This window comes from Homo sapiens, chromosome 17, assembly GCF_000001405.40.
Source record: "Homo sapiens chromosome 17, GRCh38.p14 Primary Assembly".
In the NCBI taxonomy this organism is placed as follows: Eukaryota; Metazoa; Chordata; class Mammalia; order Primates; family Hominidae; genus Homo; species Homo sapiens.
In genome coordinates, this window is record NC_000017.11 from 59,892,665 (window position 1) to 59,917,130 (window position 24,466).

Genomic DNA, 24,466 nt, shown 5'->3' on the forward strand with positions numbered 1-24,466 from the left:
CCCAGGAGTTCTCCACACGTAACCCGACTCACCGCCAGACGCCGACCAGCGCTTCTGTCCGGTTCAAACTTCGGACCAACCTACTCACCATGCGCATGCTCACTTTCAAAACGAAAAACTTACTGAGAACAAATGCGCATGTTCCATAAACGGAGAGTTTTGTTGTGTATATATTTTTTCCTATTCAGAAAGATTAATTACGCATGTTCAATTTCAATTTACGAACTTCAGATATGGTACGCATGCTCACTGTCCACCGAACGCTCCAGCTGACAATGCGCATGCTCTAGTCCTCCAAGCGCGACTTCGGCTGGTGTTTTGCGCATGTTTCTGCCAGCGCCTGGATCCTGCCGATAGTTCTGCGCATGTCCACTGCCCACTGTTTGGCTTCACGGAACCCTGTACGCATGCTCCTACGCTGAACTTTAGGAGCCAGTCTAAGGCCTAGGCGCAGACGCACTGAGCCTAAGCAGCCGGTGATGGCGGCAGCGGCTGTGGTGGCTGCGGCGGGTCCGGGCCCATGAGGCGACGAAGGAGGCGGGACGGCTTTTACCCAGCCCCGGACTTCCGAGACAGGGAAGCTGAGGACATGGCAGGAGTGTTTGACATAGACCTGGACCAGCCAGAGGACGCGGGCTCTGAGGATGAGCTGGAGGAGGGGGTGAGGCCCGGGGTCCCCGGGGGCCCGAGGTGACAGGGCCGGGGCGGCGGCGCGGGCTCAGGAAGCGCGGTGTGTCCTAGAGCGTGGAGACCCAGGGGGGCTCCTGAGGAGCTGAGGGTCGCGCGGCCTGAGACAGGGGAGCGGGCGGGGCGGTCATGGCCCTAGGTGTGAGGCCTCTGCGGGGCTCGCAGGTGCAGGTCGCACCCTTAGCCCCAGGTCAGCGCAGCCCCGAGCGATCTGAAGAGGGAAAGAGAACGGGCGCGTGGTCGATTCCTCGAGCTGTTGGACTTGAGTGTGGCGGGGAGCGGGTGGCGTGAGCGTGTGTTGGGGAGACGGGGGCTGCTCTTGCTGGGTGTCCCGTAAGTGCAGGCGAAGTGTGGAGGGTTTCCCTTCGAGTCTAGAATTTCAAGTATTGAATCTTCAGACCTCCCACAACCACCTCTCTTCTCGGCCTGTCGCTTCTCTCCTAGGAAGCGCTCAGCTGTTAGAAGTGACAGCTGAAAACTTCTGTCGGGAGTAGCACTGCCGCTGCTGTTACAGCCACCAGGAGTTTTATTTCGGGAGCAAGGGGGCTCTGCTGCATCTTCCAATCTTCCAGGGTTTGTTTGTTTGCTTTTTTTTTTTTACCCCCTTCCGTGTGACTTTTTAAAATAAGCATTTATAAGGACACACGGCACTTGTAACCTTTCCCCAAGTTGAAGATGTCTGTATTTTTTTCAGAATAATTAATGTAATTTTGAGGTGGAAAAAAAAACCAAAAACCAGTTGACAGCCTTGATTTAGCTTGCCAGAAATAAGTTGCCTGAACAGAGACTTGTGAATGGTGGTATGAGGGCTTTCCTTGCTGTAATTTAGGGTGCTAAATTTAGAATTGTATTTCCTAATGCATAGCTTGGTTTCACCCTGCTGGCTTAGTGGTTTGTTAATCTTTATGGAATAACTTTTTTTTTCCCTAGATAAATTTATCAAAAAATGACAAATTGCACCTGAAGTTCAAAAATGTTGTCATACTAAATCACTGATCCTGGACCAAATGATCATCAGTTGATAACCTCTTGGTAGTTTAGCATCTAAATTCCAATGTCTAGTTGAATACATGGGTTAATGACGTCAGATGTTTGCTCTAATTACACAGGGGCTTCCTTTCCCTTGCCTCACCCTCAGTTTTTCTCCTCTGGCACCTGCCCTACTGTTGACAAAAGATTGAGATGATGTATATAAAGAATTTTGAACACTTTAAGAAACTAAGTGGCCTAAAATAATACTGTTCTTCTTGTTTGTTTCTTTTGTTTTGTTTTGAGTTGGGTCTCACTCTATCACCCAGACTGGAGTGCAATGGTGCGATCTCAGCTCACTGCAATCTCAGCCTCCTGGGTTTAAGCGATTGTCATGGCTCAGCCTCCCAAGTAGCTAGGATTACAGGCATGCGCCACCACATCTGGCTAATTTTTGTATTTTTAGTAGAGACAGGGTTTCACCATATTGGCCAGGCTGTTCTCGGACTCCTGACCTCAAATGATCCACCAGCCTCGGCCTCCCAAAATGCTGGGATTATAGGCATAAACCACCATACCTGACCAATACTGTTCTTTTCATAATCAAATAAGACTAAATCAAAATCACACGGTTTAGAAAGTGGGTATTGAGTTGTGTGCTTTTTCTTTTCTTTTCTTTTCTTTTCTTTCTTTCTGGTTTTTTTGTTTTGTTTTGTTTTTGAGACAGTCTTGCTCTGTCACCCAGGCTGGAATGCAGTGGCGTGATCTCAGCTCACTGCAACCTCTGCCTCCTGGGTTCAAGCGATTCTCCTGCCTCAGCCTCCTGAGTAGCTGGGACTACAGGCGCGTGCCACCACACCTGGCTAATTTTTTGTATTTTTAGTAGAGATGGAGTTTCACTGTGTTAGCCAGGATGGTCACGATCTCTTGACCTCGTAATCTGCCCGCCTCGGCCTCCCAAAGTGCTAGGATTACAGGTGTGAGCCACTGCGCCTGGCTTTTTTTTTTTTTTTTTTTTTGAGACAGGGTCTTCCTCTGTCACCCAGGCTGGAGTGCAGTGGTGCGATCTCGGCTCACTGCAGCCTCTGCCTCCCAGGTTCAAGCGATTCTCCTACCTCAGCCTCCCAAGTAGCTGGGATTACAGGGGCGCGCCACATCACCTGGCTACTTTTTTTGTATTTTAGTAGAGATGGGGTTTCACCATGTGGCCCAGGCTGGTCTTGAACATCTGACCTCAGGTGATCACCTGCCTCAGTCTCCCAAAGTGCTGGGATTACAGGTGTGAGCCACCCCACCAGGCTTTTTACTTTATTTTATTTTAATTTTTTTTGAGATGGAGTCTCACTGTGTAGCCCAAGCTGGAATGCAGTGGCCTGATCTCGGCTCACTGCAGCCTCCGCCTCCTGAGCTCAAGCGATTCTCGTGCCTCAGCCTTCCGAGTAGCTGGGACTACAGGCGCGCACCACCATGCCTGGCTAATTGTTTGTATTTTAGTAGAGATGGGGTTTCACCATGTTGCCCAGGGTGGGCCTGAACTCCTGAGCTCCAGCAATCTGCCAGCCTTGGCCTCTCAAAGTGCTGGGATTACAGGCGTGAGCCACTGCATCCGGTTGGTGTGTGCTTTTTCAATGATGTTTTCATGCAGAATTCCAATTAGCCTCTTAATCGAACATAATGGTACACTAGTTACAATTGGAAACAAATATGAGATTACTTTCATTATTTATACCATATACCATACTCTTTATCAGTTATGTTGGTTCTCTATGACAGTGGCTTTGGAGCAGGGCAGGGGAGAAAACTGGATAGGAAGGTGCTTTATATCTTCATTAGTTGAACTGATAGAATTTCCAGACTGGGTTTATTTTATTTTATTTTTTTTTCTTTTCTGAGACAGAGTCTTGCTCTATTTGCCCAGGCTGGAGTGCAATGGCGCTATCTCGGCTCACTGCAGCCTCCACTTCCCGGGTTCAAGCGATTCTCCTGCCTCAGCCTCCCGAGTAGCTGGGATTACAGGCACCCGCCACCAGGCCCGGCTAATTTTTGTATTTTTAGTAGAGACGGGGTTTCTCCATGTTGGTCAGGCTGGTCCGGAACTTCCAAACTTGGGTGATCTGCCTGCCTTGGCCTCTCAAAATACAGGTGTGAGCCACCGCACCCAGCCAGGTTTATTCTTTTTTGAAAGTACAGTACTCTGTTAAAATTCCTGTGTAAACTGGGACTTTTCTTTTCACTTTCTTGTGTTTCAAGAACAGTAGGTGTTCCAGGGCTTTTGTCCTGCTGGGTACAAGCAAGTAGGATTTTGAGAAGGTGTGAGGAGGAGGTCAGAAAAATTGGTGGAAATAGGAAAGAGAAAGAAATATGGCCCCGATTTTGGGGAGAGAAAGTCTGGGGAAAGAGCAAAGGCAATTAAAGAGGATTTTGAGGAAGAGACTTCTGTAAAATATGTCTTAGCAACACTTTTTGGAGTTGAAAATATTTCTTTTTAGTGTGTTATTTTTTCTAAGAGGTGCCTCAAGATGGATAATGGAAGATTTGGAGTACGATTGGGTTGACAATCCAAGGAGATTCGGTGACATCCAGATTACCCTGAAATAAAAAAAAAAAAAAATTCTGGAAAATGAGAGAAGTTTAGATTCTTAGAAAATCTTCTGATAGTTTCTATTTGTGAATTTATAGACTTTAATTTATTACACAAAGTTTTTAAACATTGGTGCATATCAGTTTTCCTCATTTTATAGTAAGGAAACTGAGGCATAGGCCATATGATAGCCAAAGATCACATAGTGGTAGTGTCTTCTGACTTAATTCAGCAGGCTTCATTGCACAGGTTCTTCATTGCATTTACTAGTTGTGTTTATAATGTTCCTCTTTGTGGTATGTCAAAAGTGAATTCAGATTCCTTTGGCCATACTCACTCTGTGACCTGGAGTAAATTCCTTAATCTCTAATGTTTTCTATAACATGAGGGTTACATTAAATAAGTACGTAAAGTACAGTACTCTCAAAATATCCTGGCGTATTAAGCAATTAGCTAGTTCACAGAAATTCAGCTTGTCTTGTCATTGCTAAGGAACCAATCATTCAGGTTTAACCTCGTATACCTAGAGACTTAATAATTGCAGTTAAACTCGAGGTGCTGTATTTTTACAACTGTAGTATCATAGTGTGTATTTTTTTTTAAAACTAATTGATCCCGTTTAGAGAGATGTGCCTTTCAAGGTACGTTACAGAGTGACTATGCGTTAGTAAATATAGGTATTTCCATAGTTTATTTAATTAGAGATTAAAAGATGAGACTAAATGATACATTTATGGACAAAGTTGAATATCTGCCACCTAACTTAAAAAAGATCCTGTTTAAGGCCGGGCACAGTGGCTCATGCCTGTAATCCCAGCACTTTGGGAGGCCGAGGCAGGTGGATCACGATGTCAGGAGCAGGAGACCAGCCTGGCCAATATGGTGAAACCCAGTTTCTACTAAAAATACAAAAATTAGCCAGGCATGGTGGTGCACACCTCTAGTCCCAGCTATTCAGGAGGCTGAGGCAGGAGAATCTCTTGAACCTGGGAGGTGGAGGTTGCAGTGAGCCAAGATCATACCACTGCACTCCAGCCTGGGCGACACAGTGAGATTCCGTCTCAAAAAAAAAAAAAAAAGATTCTGTTTAAATATCTCAGAGGAATATAATCAAAGCCTATTGGTAAGAGGGGAGTTTTTGGGCGGAGGGTGTCTTTTTTGTTTGTTTTTTTGTTTCACTGTTGATGATATCATTTGGGGCAGTAAATTGAAACTAAGGAAAAGTTTTCCTTCAGAGAATTTAGATTGCAAAAATGTTGGAATCTTCTCTGCTCTCTATAGCATTAAGAGTAGTAGAAAACTGTAATGCAATTTAAAAAATTCTCACTTTGTACTCTAATTCAAAATTTGAAATAATCACGCAGGCTTACTGTACAAGTTTCAGATTGGGACATCAGATTTTTATTGAGTAAAAGGTTTAAAATTTTTGAAAACCAAAGTGCTATATAGATAGTATATACTCAAATATTCATGATTATGAAAAATTATAGAAAAAATATCAATACTTATCTTGCTTTGTAATATATACTTACTATAAAGCAGCAACTTTTTTTTATTTTTTATTTTTTTGAGACGGAGTTTTGCTCTTGTGGCCCAGGCTGGAGTGCAGTGGTGCGATCTCGGCTCACTGCAACCTCTGCCTCCTGGGTTCAAGCTATTCTCCTGCCTCAGCCTCCCGAGTAGCTGGGATTACAGGTGCCGACTACCACACCCAGCTAATTTTTTGTATTTTTTTGGTAGAGACGGGGTTTCACCATGTTGGCCAGGCTGGTCTCAAACTCTTGACTTCAGGCGATACACCTGCCTCGGCCTCCCAAAGTGCTGGGATTACAGGCATGAGCCACCGTGCCCGGCCAGCAGCAACTATTTTTAAATAGCCCAAGAGTTTAGGCAAAGTTCTACCCTTTCTTCCATTTCCTCTAAGTTACTGAATCTTGTCAATCCTAATGAACACAGCAGACATTGGATAGGCCATAAAGCTTAAGGCAGCAGAAAAAAATTAGGAGTAAAGAGTTTCCTGGCCAGGCGGGGTGGCTCATGCCTGTAATCCCAGCACTTTGGGAGGCCAAGGTGGGCAGATCACCTGAGGTCAGGGGTTCGAGACCAGCCTGGCCAACATGGTGAAAACCCCGTCTCTATTAAAAATACAAAAATTAGCCGGGCCTGGTGTCAGGCACCTGTAATCCCAGCTACTCGGGAGGCTGAGGCAGGAGAATCACTTGAACCTGGGAGGCAGAGGTTGCAGTGAGCCAAGATCGCGCCATTGTTCTCCAGCCTGGGGGACAAGAGCAAGACTTCGTCTCAGAAAAAAAAAAAAAAGGAGTAAAGAGTTTCCTGTGAAAGAGAGTTGTCAGTATGTATTACATAATGTTATTTGACACTTCTTGTGTGAGCCTTCTAGAGGTAACACTGAGTAGCAGGAAAGATTTGTGCCTCAAATGCTTCTGTCCTAGACAGTAACGGTAGAAGTTATTAGCACAATATGCAGGTGCCAGCATTATAGGTCTGGCCAGCTTAGGAAATGAAACATAGCTACAGGGCGTATCTTGTGAGGTGGCTTCAAAATCATGGTCCAGTCTTAACTACTCTGTAGTCTTTAATTTAGAATTAAGTAAAACTAACATTAAAGAAAAAACAATTATGTAATACCAGTTTTATCACATCTGGAAGAAGTTAGTCTTTTGTCATAAAAGTGAAGCCATCCTAGGCGATTACGTAGAGCAACAAAGACAAAAAAAACCTTTAACCATGACCACCCCCATATCCCACACATAAAAGAAACTGTATCCAGTTAAAATGGTGAGAATTGGTTTTTTCCCCCTTGATACTGCCCCATCTCTTTGCCTGGGTATAATCATGAAGTGTACATTCCTGGTATTACATGTTATCGTGATTTGGTCACACCATGAGTGAGTTATGACTAAAATTTTGTGTTTTGGGGGCATTTGAACATTTATTCTATAAGAATACTATCAGTTTTTGGCTGGGTATGATAGCTCGTGCCTGTAATCCCAGAACTTTGGGAAGCTAAGGTGGAAGGATCATTTGAGGCCAAGAGTTCGAGACCAACCTGGCCAACAAAACAAGACCCTATCTGTACAAAAAATTAAAAAAATAAATAGTGGGCATAGTAGCACACAGCACACGCCTGGCACTAGTGACTCCAGAGGCTGAGAAGAGATGATCACTGGAGCCCAGGAGTTTGAGGATGCAATGAGCTATTATCCTACTACAGCACTCCAGCCTGGGTGACAGAAACCTAATTGCTAAACACACACACACACACACACACACACACACACACACACACACACACACACACACACACACCCCTATGTGTTTTTGTTGTGTATGTTGGCTGTGTACTGGTAGTTTTGAAGAAAGATATATTCACTTTAATATCTTAACTACTCTAAAGTTTTGACATGATTGCTTAAAGACTTGTAATGTTTTAGAGTCTATTTTCTTTTTCTTTTTTTTTGAGATGGAGTCTCACTCTTGTCATCCAGCCTGGAGTGCAATGGCGCGATCTTGGCTCACTGCAACCTCCACCTCCTGGGTTCAAGCGATTCTCTTTCCTCAGCCTCCTGAGTAGCTAGGATTACAAGTGCCCGCCACCAGGCCTGGCTAATTTTTGTATTTTTAGTAGAGGCGGGGTTTCTCCATGTTGGCCAGGCTGGTCTCGAACTCCCAATCTCAGGTGATCCGCCTGCCTTGGCCCCAAAGTGCTGGGATTACAGGCGTGAGCCACGCGCCTGGCCTGGAGTCTATTTTAAATTAATTAGTATCCTTTCGTGTAAACTGAGAGTTCATAATCAGATTAGATTGATTTTAAAGCTATATATTATAATGTCAGTAACTGAAATTCTGCTGCCAAGTTTTTTGTTGTTTTTTGTTTATACAATTCAGTGACTTTGAGTATATTTACAGAGTTGTGCAGCCATCACCAAAATTAGGTTTTAGAAATTTTTACCACTCGGCCGGGCGCAGTGGCTCAGGCCTGTAATCTCAGTACTTTGGGAGGCCAAGGCAGATGGATCACTTGAAGTTGGGAGTTCAAGACTAGCCTGGCCAACATGGTAAAATCCTGTCTCTACTAATAATACAAAAATACCCAGGCGTGGTGGTGCATGCCTGTAATCCCAGCTACTTGGGAGACTGAGGCAGGAGAATCACTTGAACTTGGGAGGTGGAGTTTCCCATGAGCCGAGATTGCACCACTGCATTCCAGCCTGGGCAACAGAGTGAGACCTTGCATTTTTTTTTGAGACGGAGTCTCGCTCTGTTGCCCAGGCTGGAGTACAGTGGCGCGATCTCGGCTCACTGCAAGCTCCGCCTCCCAGGTTCACGCCATTCTCCTGCCTCAGCCTCCCGAGTAGCTGGGACTACAGGTGCCCGCCACCACGCCCGGCTAATGTTTTGTATTTTTAGTAGAGACGGGGTTTCACCGTGTTAGCCAGGATGGTCTCGATCTCCTGACCTTGCAATCCGCCCGCCTCAGCCTCCTAAAGTGCTGGGATTACAGGCGTGAGCCACCGCGCCTGGCCGAGACTCCATCTTAAAAAAAAAAAAAGGAAATTTTTATCACCCTATAAAGAAATTTTGGGGCTGGGCATGGTGGCTTACGCCTGTAATCCCAGTACTTTGGGAGGCCAAGGCAGATGGAGCGCATGAGCCTAGGAGTTTGAAATCAGCCTGGGCAGCATAACAGCACCCTGTCTCTGAAAAAAAAAAAAAAAAAAAAAGAAAAAAAAAGAAACAGAGTTTTGGCCAATTTAGTTACTTCTGATTCTCACCCTCAGCCCCAGGCAACTAACCTATTTCTCATCTCTATAGATTTGGCTTTTCTAGGCCCAGTGTGGCTCATACCTGTGATCCCAACACTTTGGGAGGCCGAGGCAGGAGGATCACTTGAGACTAGCCTGGGCAACATAGTGAGACCCGTGTCTCTACGAAAAATAGAAAAAAATTATCCGTCTTGGTGGTGTGCGGCTGTAGTCTCAGCTGCTTGGAAGGCTGAGGTTGGAGGATCGCTTGAGTCTCCAAGGTTGAGTTTGCCGTGATCCTGCCACTGCACTTCAACCTGCGCAACAGAATGAGAACCTGTCTCTAAAAAAAAAAAAAAAAAAAGCTTTTTCTGGACATTCCATATAAATGGAATCATATAGTGTATGACCTTTTATATTTGGTGGCTTTCACTTTTTTTTTTTTTTTTTTTTTTGAGATGGAGTCTCACTCTATCACCTAGGCTGGAGTGCAGTGGTGTGATCTCTGCTCACTGCAACCTCTGCCTCCTGGGTTCAAGTAATTTTCCTGCCTCACCCTCCTGAGTAGCTGGGACCACAGGTGTGCGCCACCACACCTGGCTAATTTTTGTATTTTTAGTAGAGATGGGGTTTTGCCATGTTAGCCAGGCTGGTCTCAAACTCCTGACCTCAAGTGATCCGCCTGCCTTGGCCTCTCAAAGTGCTGGGATTACAGGCGTGAGCCACAGCATAAAGTTTTTGAAGATCATTTATGTTGTAACATGTATCAGTACTTCATTTCTTTTTAGGGCCAAATAGTTATTCTGTTTTATGGCTACAGTGCATTTTGTTTATCCATTTACCGGTTGATGTTCATTTGAGTTATTCATTCAGATGTTCAACTGAATTGTGAATAAAGCATTTTTTGTTTCTTTTTTTTTTTTTTTTGGAGATAGGGTCTCACTCCGTTGCCCATGCTGTAGTGCAGTGGCGTGAAAAAGCTCGCTGCAGCTTCACCCTCCTGGGCTGAAGTAATTCTTCTGCCTCAGTCTCTCATGTAGCTGGGACCACAGGCACGTGCCACCATTCCCAGCTAATTTTTTGATTTGTTGCAGAGATGGGGGTCTCGTGATTTTGTCCCGGTTGGTTTTAAACTCCTGGCCTCAAGCAATTCTTCTGCCTCTGCCTCCCAAAGTGTTAGGATTATAGGCATGAGCCACCTCCTCGCCTGGCCTGAATAAACCTTTTAGAAGGCTGGGTGTGGGGGCTCATGCCTATAATCCTAGCACTGTGGGAGGCTGAGGCAGGTGGATCGCTGGAGTCCAGGAATTCCAGACCGGCCTGGGCAACGTGATGAAACCTGTTCTCTACAAAAAATGAGCCGATGCTGGGCATGGTGGCCTGTATTCCCAGCACTTTGGGAGGCCGAGCTGGGTGGATCATGAAGTCAAGAGTTTAAGACCAGTCTGGCCAAGATGCTGAAACCCCATCTCTACTAAAAATACAAAAATTAGCCGGGCGTGGTGGCGGGTGCCTGTAATCCCAGCTACTCAGGAGGCTGAGGCAAAGAATTGCTTGAACCTGGGAGGCAGAGGTTGCAGTGACCCGAGATAGCACCACTGCACTCCAGCCTGGGCAACAGAGTGAGACTCTGTCTCAAAAAAAAAAAAGAAAAAAAAAGAGCCGAGCATGGTGCTATGCACTTGTAGTCCCAGCTGTTCGGGAGGCTGAAGTGGGAGGATCACCTGAGTCCAGGAGGTTGAGGCTGCAGTGAGCCATGATCGCACCACTGCACTCCAGCCTGGGTGATAGAGTGACACCCTGTCTCAAAAAGAAAAAAAAGAAAAAAAAGTTTTTATGAACATTATTGCCCAGATCTTTGTGGAGCATATACTTTTCATTTCTTTTGAGTAGATACATTGGAGTAGATTTGCTGGGTCATGCAGTAGTAAGTCTATGTTTAATTTTTTAAGAGACGAACTTTTCCAACACGGTTGCACCATTTTACATTCTCACTAGCACTGTATGAGGGTTCCAGTTTCTCTCATCCTCCCCCAACTTACTTTTCCTCTTTATCATCTATTATCCTAGTGGGTGTGAAGTAGTTTCTCAGTGTGGTTTTGATTTGCATTTCCCTAACAACTAATGATGTTGAACATCTTTCCATTTGCTTATTGTTCATTTGTATATTTTCTTTGGAGAAATACCTATTCAGATCCTAGCTCATTTTTCAAAAATTGGGTGTGTCATCTTTTTCTTTATATATTTTATTTATTTATTTTAGAGATGAGATCTCACTTTAGAGTTCTGCTGTCAAACTCCTGGCCTCAAGCAGTCTTCCACCTTGGCCTCCCAAAGTGCTGGGATTACAGGCATGAGCCACTGCGCCTGGCCTATTTATCTTTTTATTGTTGAGTTGGAGTATTTATTTATTTATTTATTTATTTATTTTGAGATGGAGTCTTGTTCTGTTGCCCAGGCTGGAGTGCAGTGGCGTGATCTCGGCTCACTGCAACCTCCACCTCCCAGGTTCAAGTGATTCTCCTGCCTCAGCCTCCTGAGTAGCTGGGATTACAGGTGCGCACCAACACGTCCGGCTAATTTTTGTATTTTTAGTAGAGACAGGGTTTCACCACGTTGGTCAGGCTGGTCTCGAACTCCTGACCTCATGATCCGCCCTCCTTGGCCTCCCAAAGTGTTGGGATTTCAGGCGTGAGCCACTGCGCACAGCCCGGAGTAATTCTTTATGTATCATTTTTGTTTTTTGAGACGGAGCTGCCTCTATTGCCCAGGCTGGAGTGCAGTGGCGCCATCTCTGCTCACTGCAACCTCTGCCTCCTGGGTTCAAGCAATTCTCCTGCCTCAGCCTCCCTAGTAGCTGGGATTACAGGTGCCCATCACCACGCCCAGCTAGTTTTTGTAGTTTTAGTAGAGATTGGGTTTTGCCATGTTGGCCAGGCTGGTGTCGAATTCCTGTCCTCAAATTATCCTCCTGCCTCGGCCTCCCAAAGTGCTGGGATTATAGGCATGAGCCACTGCACCTGGCATTCTGTTTTTTTTTTTTTTTTGAGGTGGAGTCTCGCTCTGTTGCCCAGGCTGGAGTGCAGTGGCGCGATCTCAGCTCACTGCAACCTCTGCCTCCCAGTTTCAATCAATTCTCCTGCCTCAGCCTCCCGAGTAGCTGGGACTACAGGCACTCGCCACCATATCCAGCTCATTTTTGTATTTTTAGTAGAGATGGGGTTTCACTATGTTGGCCAGGCTGGTCTCGAACTCCTGACCTTGTGATCTGTCTGTCTCAGCCTCACAAAGTGCTGGGATTACAGGCCTGAGCGACTGCGCCTGGCTGCATTCCTTGCATATTCTTATTCTGTGGTTTTTATTTTCTTTTTTGAGACAGGGTCTCAGTCTGTCACCCAGGCAGGAGTAGCGCAATTTTGGCTCACTGCAGCCTTGACCTCTTGGACTCAAAGCAATCCTCCTACCTCATCCTCCTGAGTAGCTGGGACTGCAGATGTGCGCCACTATGCCTGGCTAATTTTGTAGAGACCAAGTTTCACCATGTTGCCCAGGCTGGTCTCAAACTCCTGAGCTCAAGTGATATGCCCACCTCAGCCTCCCAAAGTGTTGGGATTACAAGCATTAGCCGCTGTGCTCAGTCTCTTTGAGCTTTCTTGATGGTGTTGGTGTTTTTGACATGCAAAGGTTTTACATTTTCAGTAAATCGATTTATTGATTTTTTAAATTGTTTGTGCTTTTGGTAATGTATATAAGAAACTATTACTTTCCCCAGGATCATGAAGATTTACTCCCTCCTATGCTTCTTTTAAGAATTTTATTTTGTTGTTAAGTTTTGGGAGGATTTTTTTTTTTTTGAGACGGAGTTTTGCTCTTGTTGCCCAGGCTGGAGGGCAATGACACGCTCTCAGCTCACTGCAGCCTCCGCCTCCTGGATTCAAGCAATTCTCCTGCCTCAGCCTCCTGAGTAGCTGGGATTACAGGCTCCCGCCACAATGCCCGGCTAATTTTTTATATTTTTAGTAGAGACGGGGTTTCACCACATTGGCCTGGCTGATTTTGAACTCCTGACCTCAGGTCATCCACCCGCCTCAGCCTCCCAAAGTGTTGGGATTACAGGTGTGAGCCACTGCGCCTGGCCCTTGGGAGGACCTTTTTTTTATTATTATTTTTTTGAGACAGAATCTTGCTCTGTTGCCCAGGCTGGAGTGGAACTCCCAGGCTTAGGTGATCATCCTGCCTCAGCCTCCTCGATAGCTGGGACTACAGGCATACAACACCACACTCAGCTCGAGTTTTATAGTTTTAGCTCCTGTATTTAGGTCTTTGCTCCATTTTGAGTTAATTTTTGTGTATAGTGTGAAGTAGCATATAGATATCCAGTTGTCCTAGCATCATTATTTGATTTGTATGTGGATATCCAGTTGTTCCAACACATTTATTGAAAGATTGCCTCTTGCCTAATGAATATTTTTGGCAGTTTTATCAAAAATTAGTTGACAATATAAATGTAAGAGTTTATTTCTGGGCTCTTAATTCTATTCTGTTGATCTATATGTCTTTCTTTATGCCAGTACCACACTGCCTTGATGGCTGTAGCTTTGTAACATGTTTTGAAATTGGGAAGTGTCAGTCCTCCACCTTTGTTCTTTTTCAAGATTGTATCAGTTATTTTGGGTCCCTTGCCTCCCTTCCCCTTCCCCTTCCCCTTCCCTTTCGACAGAGTCTAGCTTTGTTGCCCAGGCTGGAGTGTGCAGTGGCGCGATCTCGGCTCACTGCAACCTCTGCCTCCTGGGTTCAAGCCATTCTTCTGCCTCAGCCCTGAGTAGCTGGGATTACAAGCATGGATGACCACTCCAGTTAATTTTTGTATTTTTAGTAGAGATGGGGTTTCACCATATTGGCCAGGCTGGTCTTGAACTCCTGACCTCGAGTAATCCACCTATCTTGGCCTCCTAAAGTGCTAGAATTACAGGTGTGAGCCACCACACCCGGCCTGGCTCCTTTGCATTTCTTTCTTTCTTTACTTTTTTTTGTTTGTTTGTTTTGAGATGGAGTCTCGCTCTGTCACCTGGGCTGGAGTGCAATGGTGTGATCTCGCTCACCGCAACGTCTGCCTTACGGGTTCAAGCAATTCTCCTGCCTCAACTTCCCGAGTAGCTGAGATTACAGGCGCCCTCCACCACGCCTGGCTAATTTTTGTATTTTTAGTAGAGATGGGGTTTCGCCATGTTGGCCAGGCTGGTTTCAAACTCCTGACCTCAGGTGATCCATGTGCCTTGGCCTCCAAAGTGCTGGGATTACAGACGTGAGCCGCCTTGCCCGGTCCCTTGCATTTCTTCTTTTTTTTTTTTGAGACAGAGTCTCACTCTGTTGCCCAGGCTGGACTGCTGCAGTGGCGCGATCTTGGCTCACTGCAAGCTCCGCCTCACGGGTTCACGCCATTCTCCTGCCTCAGCCTCCCGAGCAGCTGGGACTACAGGCGCCCACCACCACACCTGGCTAATTTTTTATATTTTTAGTAGAGGCGGTGTTTCACCATGTTAGCCAGGATGGTCTTGATCTCCTGACCTCGTGATCTGCCTGCCTCGGCCTCCCAAAGTGCTGGGATTACAGGCATGAGCCACCGTGCCTGGTGGTCCCTTGCATTTCTATATGAAATTTAGGATCAGCTTGTCAATTTCTGCAAGAAAGGAACCTGGGGTTTTGATAGGATTCAGTTGAATCCGTGACCAATTTGGTTAGTATTGCCATCTTAACAATGTTAAATCTCTGATCCATAAACATGGAATGCCTTTCCATTTATTTAGGTCGTCTTTAATTTTATTCAGCAATGTTTTATTGTTTTCAGTGTGTAAGTCTTACACTTTGGTTAATTTTTTTTTTTTTTTGAGACAGGGTCTCACTCTGTTGCCCAGGCTGGAATATAGTGGCACAATCACTGCCACATTGTAGCCATGACCTCCTGCACTCAAGTGATCCTGCCACCTCAGCCTCCTAAGTAGCTGGGACTACAGGCATGTGCCACCACACTCAGCTAATTTTTAAAAATTTTTTTGTGGAGGCAGGATCTTACTGTGTTGGCCAGGCTGGTCTTGAACTCCAAGTAATCCTCCTGCCTTGGACTCCCGAAGTTATTTATGCCACTGTACGTGCCATAAATTTTTTTCTAAGCTACTTCTTAGTGATGGTATTATAAATGGAATTGTTACCTTCATTTCATTTTGGGATTGTTCATTGCTAGTATATAGAAGGTTATTTAAATTTTGCACTCATTTATTCAATGGTCAGAATAAATGTGTGGCCAGCATGACTTCCAACTGTTTGACAGTGTTGCTTAATTATTTTGTCTCGATCAGCCGCATTTTACACTAGATACCCTGGACTAGTTGTGGGTACCTTAGGCTTAGTTTATAGCATTATGTTACTCTGTGTATTAAAAGCACATCAAAATAGCACTGTGTGTAAATCATTTGATTTAAGTCATATTCAGAATGTAGTGCCTTTAATTTCATAATACACAAAATATACATTTTTTTTTTTTTTGAGATGGAGTCTCACTCTGTCACTTAGGCTGGAGTGCAGTGGCGAGATCTCGGCTCACTGCAACCTTTGCCTCCCGTATCCAAGAGATTCTTCTGCCTCAGCCTCCCGAGTTGTTGGGATTACAGGCACCCACCACCACGCCTGGCTAATTTTTGTATTTTTGTATTTTTAGTAGAGACGGGGTTTCACCATGTTGGCCAGGATGGTCTCAAACTTCTGACCTCAGGTGATCCACCCGCCTCGGCCTCCCAAAGTGCTGGGATTACAGGTATGAGCCACTGCACCCAGCCGAAAATATACATTTTCGAATAGATAAATGTACATTTTGAAGGAAAATTCACTTGGTTTTATTTTTTGATTAGTCATGAGTAGCCTCTACAGTTAAGTTGTCATGTAAAAAAAATTTTTTTTTTTTTTTTTTTTTTTGAGACGGAGTCTCGCTCTGTCGCCCAGGCTGGAGTGCAGTGGCGCGATCTCGGCTCACTGCAAGCTCCGCCTCCCGGGTTCACGCCATTCTCCTGCCTCAGCCTCCCGAGTAGCTGGGACTACAGGTGCCCGCTACCACGCCCGGCTAATTTTTTGTATTTTTAGTAGAGACGGGGTTTCACCGTGTTAGCCAGGATGGTCTCGATTTCCTGACCTCGTGATCCGCCCGCCTCGGCCTCCCAGAGTGCTGGGATTACAAGCGTGAGCCACCGCGCCCGGCCAAATTTTTTTTTTTTTTTTTTTTTTTGAGACAGGGTTTCGCTCTTGTTGCCCAGACTGGAGTGCAATGGCGCGATCTCGGCTCACTGCCATCTCTGCCTTCCAGGTTCAAGTGATTCTCCTGCCTCATCCTCCCGAGTAGCTGGCATTGCAGGCATGGGCCACCACGGCCGACTAATTTTGTATTTTTTTAGTAGAGATGGGGTTTCTCCATATTGGTAAGGCTGGTCTCGAACCCCCAACTTCAGGTGATCTGCCCGCCTCGGCCTCCCAAACTGCTGGGACCACAGGCATGAGCCACCGCACGTGGCTTTTTTTTTTTTTTTTTTTTTTTTTTTTTTTTTTTTTTTTTTTTTTTTTTTTTTTTTTTGAGATGGAGTCTTGCTCTGTTGCCCAGGCTAGAGTGCAGTGGCGTGATCTCGGCTCACCGCAACTTCTGCCTTCTGGGTTCAAGCAATTCTCCTGCCTCAGCCTCTTGAGTAGCTGGAACTACAGGCATGCGACACCGCACCCGTCTAATTTTTGTATTTTTATTAGAGACTGGATTTCATCGTATTGGCCAGGCCGGTCTCGAACTCCTGACCTCGTGATCTGCCCGCATCGGCCTCCCAAAGTGCTGGGATTACAGGTGTGAGCCACCATGCCCAGCCTGTCATATAAAATTAAAAGCAAAAGCTGGGGCCGGGTGTGATGGCTCACGCCTGTAATCCCAGCACTTTGAGAAGCCGAGGAGGGCGGATCACCTGAGGTCAGGAGTTCGAGACCAGCCTGGCCAACATGATGAAACCCCATCTCTACTAAAAATGCAAAAATTAGGGCCGGGAGTGTTGACTCACGCCTGTAATCCCAGCACTTTGGGAGGCTGAGGTGGGCAGATCACAAGGTCAGGAGATCAAGACCATCCTGGCTAATATGTGAAACCCCATCTCTACTAAAAATATAAAAAATTAGCCAGGCATGGTGGCAGGCACCTGTAATCCCAGCTACTCGGAAGGCTGAGGCAGGGGAATCACTTGAACCTGGGAGGTGGAGGTTGCAGTGAGCCGAGATGGCGCCACTGCACTCCAGCCTGGGCAACAGAGCAAGACTCCATCTCAAAAAATATATATATATACACAAAAATTAGCCAAGCATGGTGGTACATGCCTATACTCCCAGCTACTCAGGAGGCTGAGGTAGGAGAAACACTGGAACCTGGGAGGCGGAGGTTGCAGTGAGCTGAGATGGCACCGCTGCACTCCAGTCTGGGTGACAGAGTGAGACTCCATCTCAAAAAAGAAAAAAAAAAAAAAAACCCGGGTGCCTATAGTCCCAGCTACTTGGAACGCTGAGGCAGAAGAATCACTTGAGGAGTTTAAGGCTCTGGTATGCTATGATCATACCCCTTCATAGCTATTGACTGCATTCCAGTCTGGGCAACATAGAAAGACCTCATCTCTATTTGTAAAATAATTTAGAGTGAAATTCCCATAGTGTTGTTTGTGTACTGTGTTTTGTTCATTACCATATTTGCCTGTTGTTGAAGTATAAGAGAATTGTTAGGCTGGTTTATTTCATTCATTCTCTTTCAGTTATGAGACAAAGAATTAAACCTTTAAATTTTATGTTTATTAGATTATTTCTGAAACTTTTAACATATTTTTCAGGGTCAGTTAAATGAAAGCATGGACCATGGGGGAGTTGGACCATATGAACTGTAAGTTTATATGAAGAGATTTTCATTGTGTTGTCTTTCTTACAAGTAGGTTTTATCAGTTCTATTTCGTAGCAATCATGTGATTCCTGTAACCTGTTCTTAAATATGTAGTCATATTTATCAACTCGATGTATTGAATTTGGCACCAAAATCTGATCAATATAACCTATCAGAGTTTTGAGATTATGTATGGATTTTGAGGAAAAGATATTAATTCAGATTCAGAGTACTAAATATGAATCTGAGTTGTTAGTTTAAAGAGCCACAGTTTTAATCTTTTCTTACAGAAAAATTTGTAGAAATGCCTCAAAAAGTCAAATGCTTTCTGTTTTGCTTAAATATACAAACAGAAATTCATACAGTCATTCAAACAGAAATTCATGCAATCCGGCTGGGCACAGTGGCTCACACCTGTAATCCCAGCAGTTTGGGAGGCCAAGGTGGGCGGGTCATTTGAGATCAGGAGTTCGAGACCAGCCTGGCCGACATGGCGAAACCCCGTCTCTTCTTAAAATTCAAAAATTAGCCGGGCGACATAGCGAGACTCCGTCTCAACAGCAACAACAAAAAAGAAATTCATGTAATCTTAAGTCATTTTAGACAAGCTCCATTAGGTGAGTATGGTGATTAATCTGCTCTGTATTGTACTCTCAAGTAAAAAGCATTAGTGTAGGAGGAGAATGAGAAGATAGATCACTCATGTAGAAAGCATTTAAATGACAGAGACAATTGCTACCCCTTTTGGATTCTTTATTTTTATTTTTTTGGAGATGGAGTCTCCCTCTGTCACCCAGGCTGGAGTGCAGTGGCACAATCTCGGCTCACCACAACCTCCACCTCCTGGGTTCAAGCGATTGTCCTGCCTCAGCCTCCCAAGTAGCTGGGACTACAGGAGCGCACCACCACACCTGGCTAATTTTTGTTGGGTTTTTTTTTTTTTTTTTTTTTTTTGAGACAAAGTCTCGCTCTTGTTCCCAGGCTGGAGTGTGATGGCATGATCTCGGCCCACTGCAACCTCTGCCTCCCAGGTTCAAGTGATTCTCCTGCCTCAGCCTCCTGAGTAGCTGGGATTATAGGTTCCTGCCACCACGCCCAGCTAATTTTTGTATTTTTAATAGAGACGGGGTTTCACCATGTTGGCTAGGCTGGAATTTTTGTATTTTTAGTGGAGACAGGGTTTTACCATGTTGGCCAGGCTGGTCTTGAACTCTCGACCTCAAGTGATCCGCCCACCTCAGCCTCCCAAAGTGCTGGGATTACAGGCATGAGCCACCACGCCCATTGGATTCTTTAAATCAAGCTAATAACTTGAAAAAACAGATACAGAGAAGAAGTTTTGTACTATGATGTGAACTAATTGGGTAGTTTTGGAAAGATCCCTGATTTTCTGCTGACATTGCCAAATGAGGTTGGATAATACCTAATTTCATAGATATTTTCAATGAAGTAAATTTGAATAACTGCAAGACTTTTTTTCTTTGTCAACTTAATGAACTTTTTCTAACTTACCTTAGCTTTGGGGTGCTTGATGCTTATGAAAATAAATAATTGTCTTCTTTTACTTTGTTGCACTCCTAAGAGCAAGATGGGTCACCAGCAGCTGTATTGGAGTCACCCATGAAAATTCAATCAGGGTTCTTGCTCTTGTTGTGTCTGCTCAAACTGGCAAGGTCTGATCCAGAAATACGGCCTCAATATGTGCGCCAGTGTTTCTATCAGTAAACGAAGGATATAGATTTCATTAAGTTGGACTAAGTGATCTTACTTGAATGGATTATCCAAGGCATCTACCCAATGAAAAACCATAGTACCCCTTTATGCATAAAATAAACAATTATAAAAATAAGTAAATAATTGATTGCCCATTCTATGAACAAGGAGGCAAACGATTATCAGGCCACCCTCCTCTTGACCTGCTGTTCTGTTTGTTTAGAGCACAAATAATTTGGTGTCATGTACTTTTTTACTTTTACTTACTTAGATTACATTTCTCTGTCTCCTTTTTCTTGACTATATGCTGAAAGTAATTTAACTTTTTGCAAATTTATTTTTGGTTTTGCTTTTCTTCCCAGTGGCATGGAACATTGTGAGAAATTTGAAATCTCAGAAACTAGTGTGAACAGAGGGCCAGAAAAAATCAGACCAGAATGTTTTGAGCTACTTCGGGTACTTGGTAAAGGGGGCTATGGAAAGGTAGGCAATATTTTTGAAATGAGAGCTGTTGTCTGTCTTGAATAGATTGATTTTTATGCCCTGGTTCCAGCAGTCATCTTCAGTCTTTGTCAGCTATCAGCAAAGGATGTGATCATGACCACTTAGCTGGTATGTTTGAGGGATGTACAGAAGTTCAGTTTTCCCTTCTTTTCATACCACCACACATGTAAAAGCCTGGCACATAATAGGTACTCAGTCAAGGTTCATAGAATACATAAATAGACAACTGTACCAGGCAAAGTCTATTATTAAAGGGTTCATTCTTTACTTTGGTTAAATGGTATCCTCTTTAAAAATAAAGCCCTCCTTGCTTACAAGAGACATGGCAGTCTGAGTTGTTATCTGTTACTGAGACCTTAATCTCAACTGGTTTTCTGGAGCAATAGAATTGGGGAAGCTGAAGGAATATAAAAAGGGGGAAGAAAACTATTTAGTTTCACAGTTTTGCCCAAGGCTTTACAACTTAAGACGTCACTTTTATGAGTTCTGCCCACAAAACTTTTTACCAAACTATTCTCTTATCAAAATAATTTAGATAATAACTTGGTTAGTATTAAGTTTTAAGAATTATTTTTGCTATTGTGTAGTGTTAATTTTTGCAAAGCAGACATTTGTAGCCTATTCTTATGCTTAAGAACACATTGTAATTTCTAATCATCCTGAATGTGCAACACATGCACTTTGAATCTCACATGTTTTAGGTGTTGCATGAAAATGTTTATAGTTGTCTTTCAGTATGGGGGAGGGGTAAGGGAGAACTGATTCCAAGACCTTTGCAGATAACAAAATCTGCCGACGCTCAAGTGCCTTATATAAAATGGCATAGTATTTGCATATAAGCTACACACATCCTCCCATATGCTTAATTTTTTATTTTATTTTTTATGATTTTTGAGACAGAGTCTCGTTCTTTCCCGCAGGCTGGAGTGCAGTGGCACGATCTCAGCTCACTGCAACCTCTGCCTTCCAGATTCAAGCGATTCTCCTGCCTCAGTCTCCCGAGTAGCTGGGATTACAGGTGTGCGCCACCACATCCGGCTAATTTTTGTATTTTTAGTAGAGATGGGGTTTCACCATGTTGGCCAGGCTGGTCTTGAACTCCTGACCTCAGGTGATCCACCCGAGTTGGCCTCCCAAAGTGCCGGGTTTACAGTTGTGAGCCACCTCACCTGGCCATATTTGTGTTATTTTTTATTGTTTGTATTGTTTATTGTTTTTTCCCCCAAATATTTTCATTCTGCGGTTGGTTGAATCCACGGCTGCTGAACCTGTAGATTCAGAGGGCCAAGTATTAGTACAAACTATTTTAAGTAATAGGTAAACAGTAATTTCCTGCCAACTATTTTTAAATAGTTTTATGTGAAGCAAGGGCAGTGGCAAGCAACCTTGAAAGAAATTTATGAAATATTTTATAATTTTTACTGCCAACTATTTTTAAATAGTTTTATGTGAAGCAAGGGCAGTGGCAAGCAACCTTGAAAGAAATTTATGAAATATTTTATAATTTTTAAGGTGGTATTATGCCTCTGGGAACACTGTTTATAGCTTGTTCTAAGTAGGATTTTATATATTAATATAAAGTAACAGTGTTTATTATTAGATGGTCATTGTCCAACATTACCACCAGATGGCAGCAGAACAAACAGGAAAGTCATGATCATTAATGTGGTCTGTTCTTTTAGCTGATCATTTTTGCACATAGTTTTTATAATATAAACTGCTGTGGCATATGTTTCTTATAACTAGGAATTAAGGGAGTATGCCTGACATAGTTTGCCTTTGAATAACACACACTTTTTTTTAATCCAGGTTTTTCAAGTACGAAAAGTAACAGGAGCAAATACTGGGAAAATATTTGCCATGAAGGTGCTTAAAAAGGTGATTTCCACTCCCCCTTTTTAGTCCTCACACACCATATTTTTACACTTGATCTCAGCCAAAAGGCTGGGAAGCAATCATATCATATTTTTAATTGTTGTAACATTTTGGCCTAAAATTTGCAGTCAAAAAAATGTATCTCAAGCCAGGTACAGTGGTGCACACCTGTGGTCCCAGCTACTTGGGAGACTGAGTCAGGAGGATTGCTTGAACTTAGGAGTTCAAGGGTAGCCTGAGCAATGTAGTAAGACCCAGTCTCTTACAGAAAAAATGTATTTATTTTCTTTTCTTTTTTTTTTTTTTGAGACGTAGTCGCGCTCTGTCGCCCAGGCTGGAGTGCGGTGGTGCGATGTCGGCTCACTGCAACCTCCACCTCCCGGGTTCAGGTAATTCTCCTGCCTCAGCCTCCCGAGTAGCTGGGACTACAGGTGCATGCTGCCACGCCCAGCTACTTTTTTGTATTTTTGATAGAAACGGGGTTTCACCATATTGGCCAGGATGGTCTTGATCTCCTGACCTCAGTGATCCACCTGCCTCGGCATCCCAAAGTGCAGGGATTACAGGCATGAGCCACCGCACCCGGCAAAAAATGTATTTCTAACACAGTTGCAATACTTTTTAGAATGTGAGGTATGTTTCATTACTGTTATTCCTATTTTTATTTCTGCTTGGTGAGTGTGGAAAAGAGAGCTCTTGCAATTCTTTGCTGAGGTAACTCTTCACTGTTTCTGATCTCCTTATTTCTAAGTAATAAGCATGTACTGCCATCTCTTTTTTTTTGAGATGAACTCTCACTCTGTTGTCCAGGCTGGAGTGCAGTTGTACAATCTCAGCTCACTGCAACCTCTGTCTCCCAGGTTCAAGTGATTCTCCTGCCCTAGCCTCCCTAATAGCTGGGATTACAGGCGCCTACCACCACGCCTGGCTAATTTTTGGATTTTTAGTGTAGACGGGGTTTCACCATATTGGCCAGGCTGGTCTCGAACTCCTGACCTCAGGTGATCCATCTGCCTCGGCCTCCCAAACTGCTGGGATTACAGGCACGAGCCACTGCGCCTGGCCTACTGCTATCTTTTTTTTTTTTTTTTTTTTTTTTATTGTGACAGAGTTTTGCTCTTGTTGCCCAGGCTGGAGTGCAGTGGAGTGATCTCGGCTCACCACAACCTCCGCCTCCCAGGTTCAAGTGATTCTCCTGCCTCAGCCTCCCTAGTAGCTGGGATTACAGGCATGTGCCACCACGCCCGGCTAATTTTGTATTTTTAGTAGAGATGGGGTTTCTCCATGTTGGTTAGGCTGGTCTCGAACTCAGGTGATCTGCCCGCCTTGGCCTCCCAAAGTGCTGGGATTACAGGCATGAGCCACCATGCCCAGCCAACTGCTATCTTTTTAATTCAGCAGTTTTCAATTTTTTTTTTTAGACGGAGCCTCACTCTGTTGCCCAGGCTGGAGTGCAGTGGCGTGATCTCAGCTCACTGCAACCTCCACCTCCCAGGTTAAAGCGATTCCTCTGCTTCAGCTTCCTGAGTGTCTGGGATTACAGGCGCCCACCACCACACCCGGCTAATTTTTGTATTTTTAGTAGAGATGCGGTTTCGCCATATTGGCATGCTGGTGTCGAACTCCTGACCTCGGGGGATCGGCCCGCCTTGACCTCCCAAAGTGTTGGGATTACAGGCGTGAGCCACCGAGCCTGGCAGTATTAACTTTCTTTTATGCGAGTTAAGGATTTGTTTCTTGTTTACTTCACCCTCCTTTATCCTCATCCTCTCATTTTGTTTTGCTTTCTTTGAATCTACTATTGTCCTCTGATGTCTTCCAACAACTTTGTAAAACACCTTTCAGTCTAATGTTCTTTGATCAGGCTTATAAGATAATCTATCAGTTCCATTTATTTCCCAGAGGCATATCTTAGGAACTTTCTATCCACCTGTTCCCATCTGGAGTGGTAGCTCTTTAGTCACAACTGTTATGACTGGACTCTTTCTTCACCACAACCCTGGAATCCTCTTGGCTCCTTCAGTGTTGGATCTTTTGTTTCCTGGATCCCATATCTTCATTTTTTCCCTTTTTCTTAGTTTATGTCCTTGTTTTGGTGACACTATACTAGTGGCTCCCTCAGACAAGGTATATAAAGATACATTTATAATAAAAATATATCCATATTGCATATTTGAGAATTTCTTTACATTTTTATTTACTTGATTGTTTATGTTATTGGAGTTGAAAATTATTTTCACTTAGAATTTTGCTCAGTTTTCTTCTATTCTTGAGAGTTTCTGTTGAAGTGCTTTGGCATTCTGATTCCCAGTCGTTTACACATGGCCTATTTTTTCTGTGGAAATATTTAAGATTTTCTCTTTATTTCTGATCTAAGTTTTTATAGTGATGTGTGTTGCTTTGACTTTGATTATTATTTTTATTTAGTTA

At 44.0% G+C, this 24,466-nt stretch overlaps 2 protein-coding genes and 1 pseudogene across 35 annotated transcripts in view, besides 2 other annotated features; 2 read left to right on the forward strand and 1 right to left on the reverse strand.

Annotated features, from left to right (window-relative positions):
- Positions 1-279, reverse strand: part of TUBD1 (tubulin delta 1) — a 33,465-nt gene extending 33,186 nt beyond the window's left edge. For all 10 annotated transcript variants that reach the window (NM_001193613.2, XM_047436202.1, NM_001193611.2 and 7 more), the window contains exon 1: positions 33-279. The gene's annotated coding sequence lies outside the window, so the exon portion shown is untranslated. The remainder of the gene's footprint in view (positions 1-32) is intronic.
- Positions 205-484: an enhancer, noted in NCBI's record as "active region_12520". NCBI's record gives its function as "activates an Ori minimal core promoter by ATAC-STARR-seq in GM12878 lymphoblastoid cells {active_cell/tissue: GM12878}" and the evidence as "EXISTENCE:reporter gene assay evidence [ECO:0000049][PMID:35858748]".
- The window catches only part of RPS6KB1 (ribosomal protein S6 kinase B1), a 57,454-nt gene continuing 33,444 nt past the window's right edge, over positions 457-24,466 (forward strand). For 18 of the 25 annotated variants that reach the window (NR_161461.1, NR_161462.1, NR_161458.1 and 15 more), the window contains exons 1-4: positions 457-661; positions 17,898-17,947; positions 20,020-20,140; positions 21,971-22,039. Coding sequence is in view for 17 of the 25 variants with exons in the window: in NM_001369679.1 (NP_001356608.1) it covers positions 521-661; positions 17,898-17,947; positions 20,020-20,140; positions 21,971-22,039 (381 nt within the window). In the remaining 8 variants the exon portion in view is untranslated. Of the gene's footprint in view, positions 667-1,131; positions 1,261-17,897; positions 17,948-20,019; positions 20,141-21,970; positions 22,040-24,466 lie in introns of all 25 variants that reach the window. The other 7 variants (NM_001369673.1, NM_001272044.2, NM_001369672.1 and 4 more) reach the window with 4 other exon arrangements.
- Positions 675-874: a silencer, noted in NCBI's record as "silent region_8784". NCBI's record gives its function as "represses an Ori minimal core promoter by ATAC-STARR-seq in GM12878 lymphoblastoid cells {active_cell/tissue: GM12878}" and the evidence as "EXISTENCE:reporter gene assay evidence [ECO:0000049][PMID:35858748]".
- On the forward strand, positions 19,503-19,783 carry RPS29P21 (ribosomal protein S29 pseudogene 21; annotated as a pseudogene).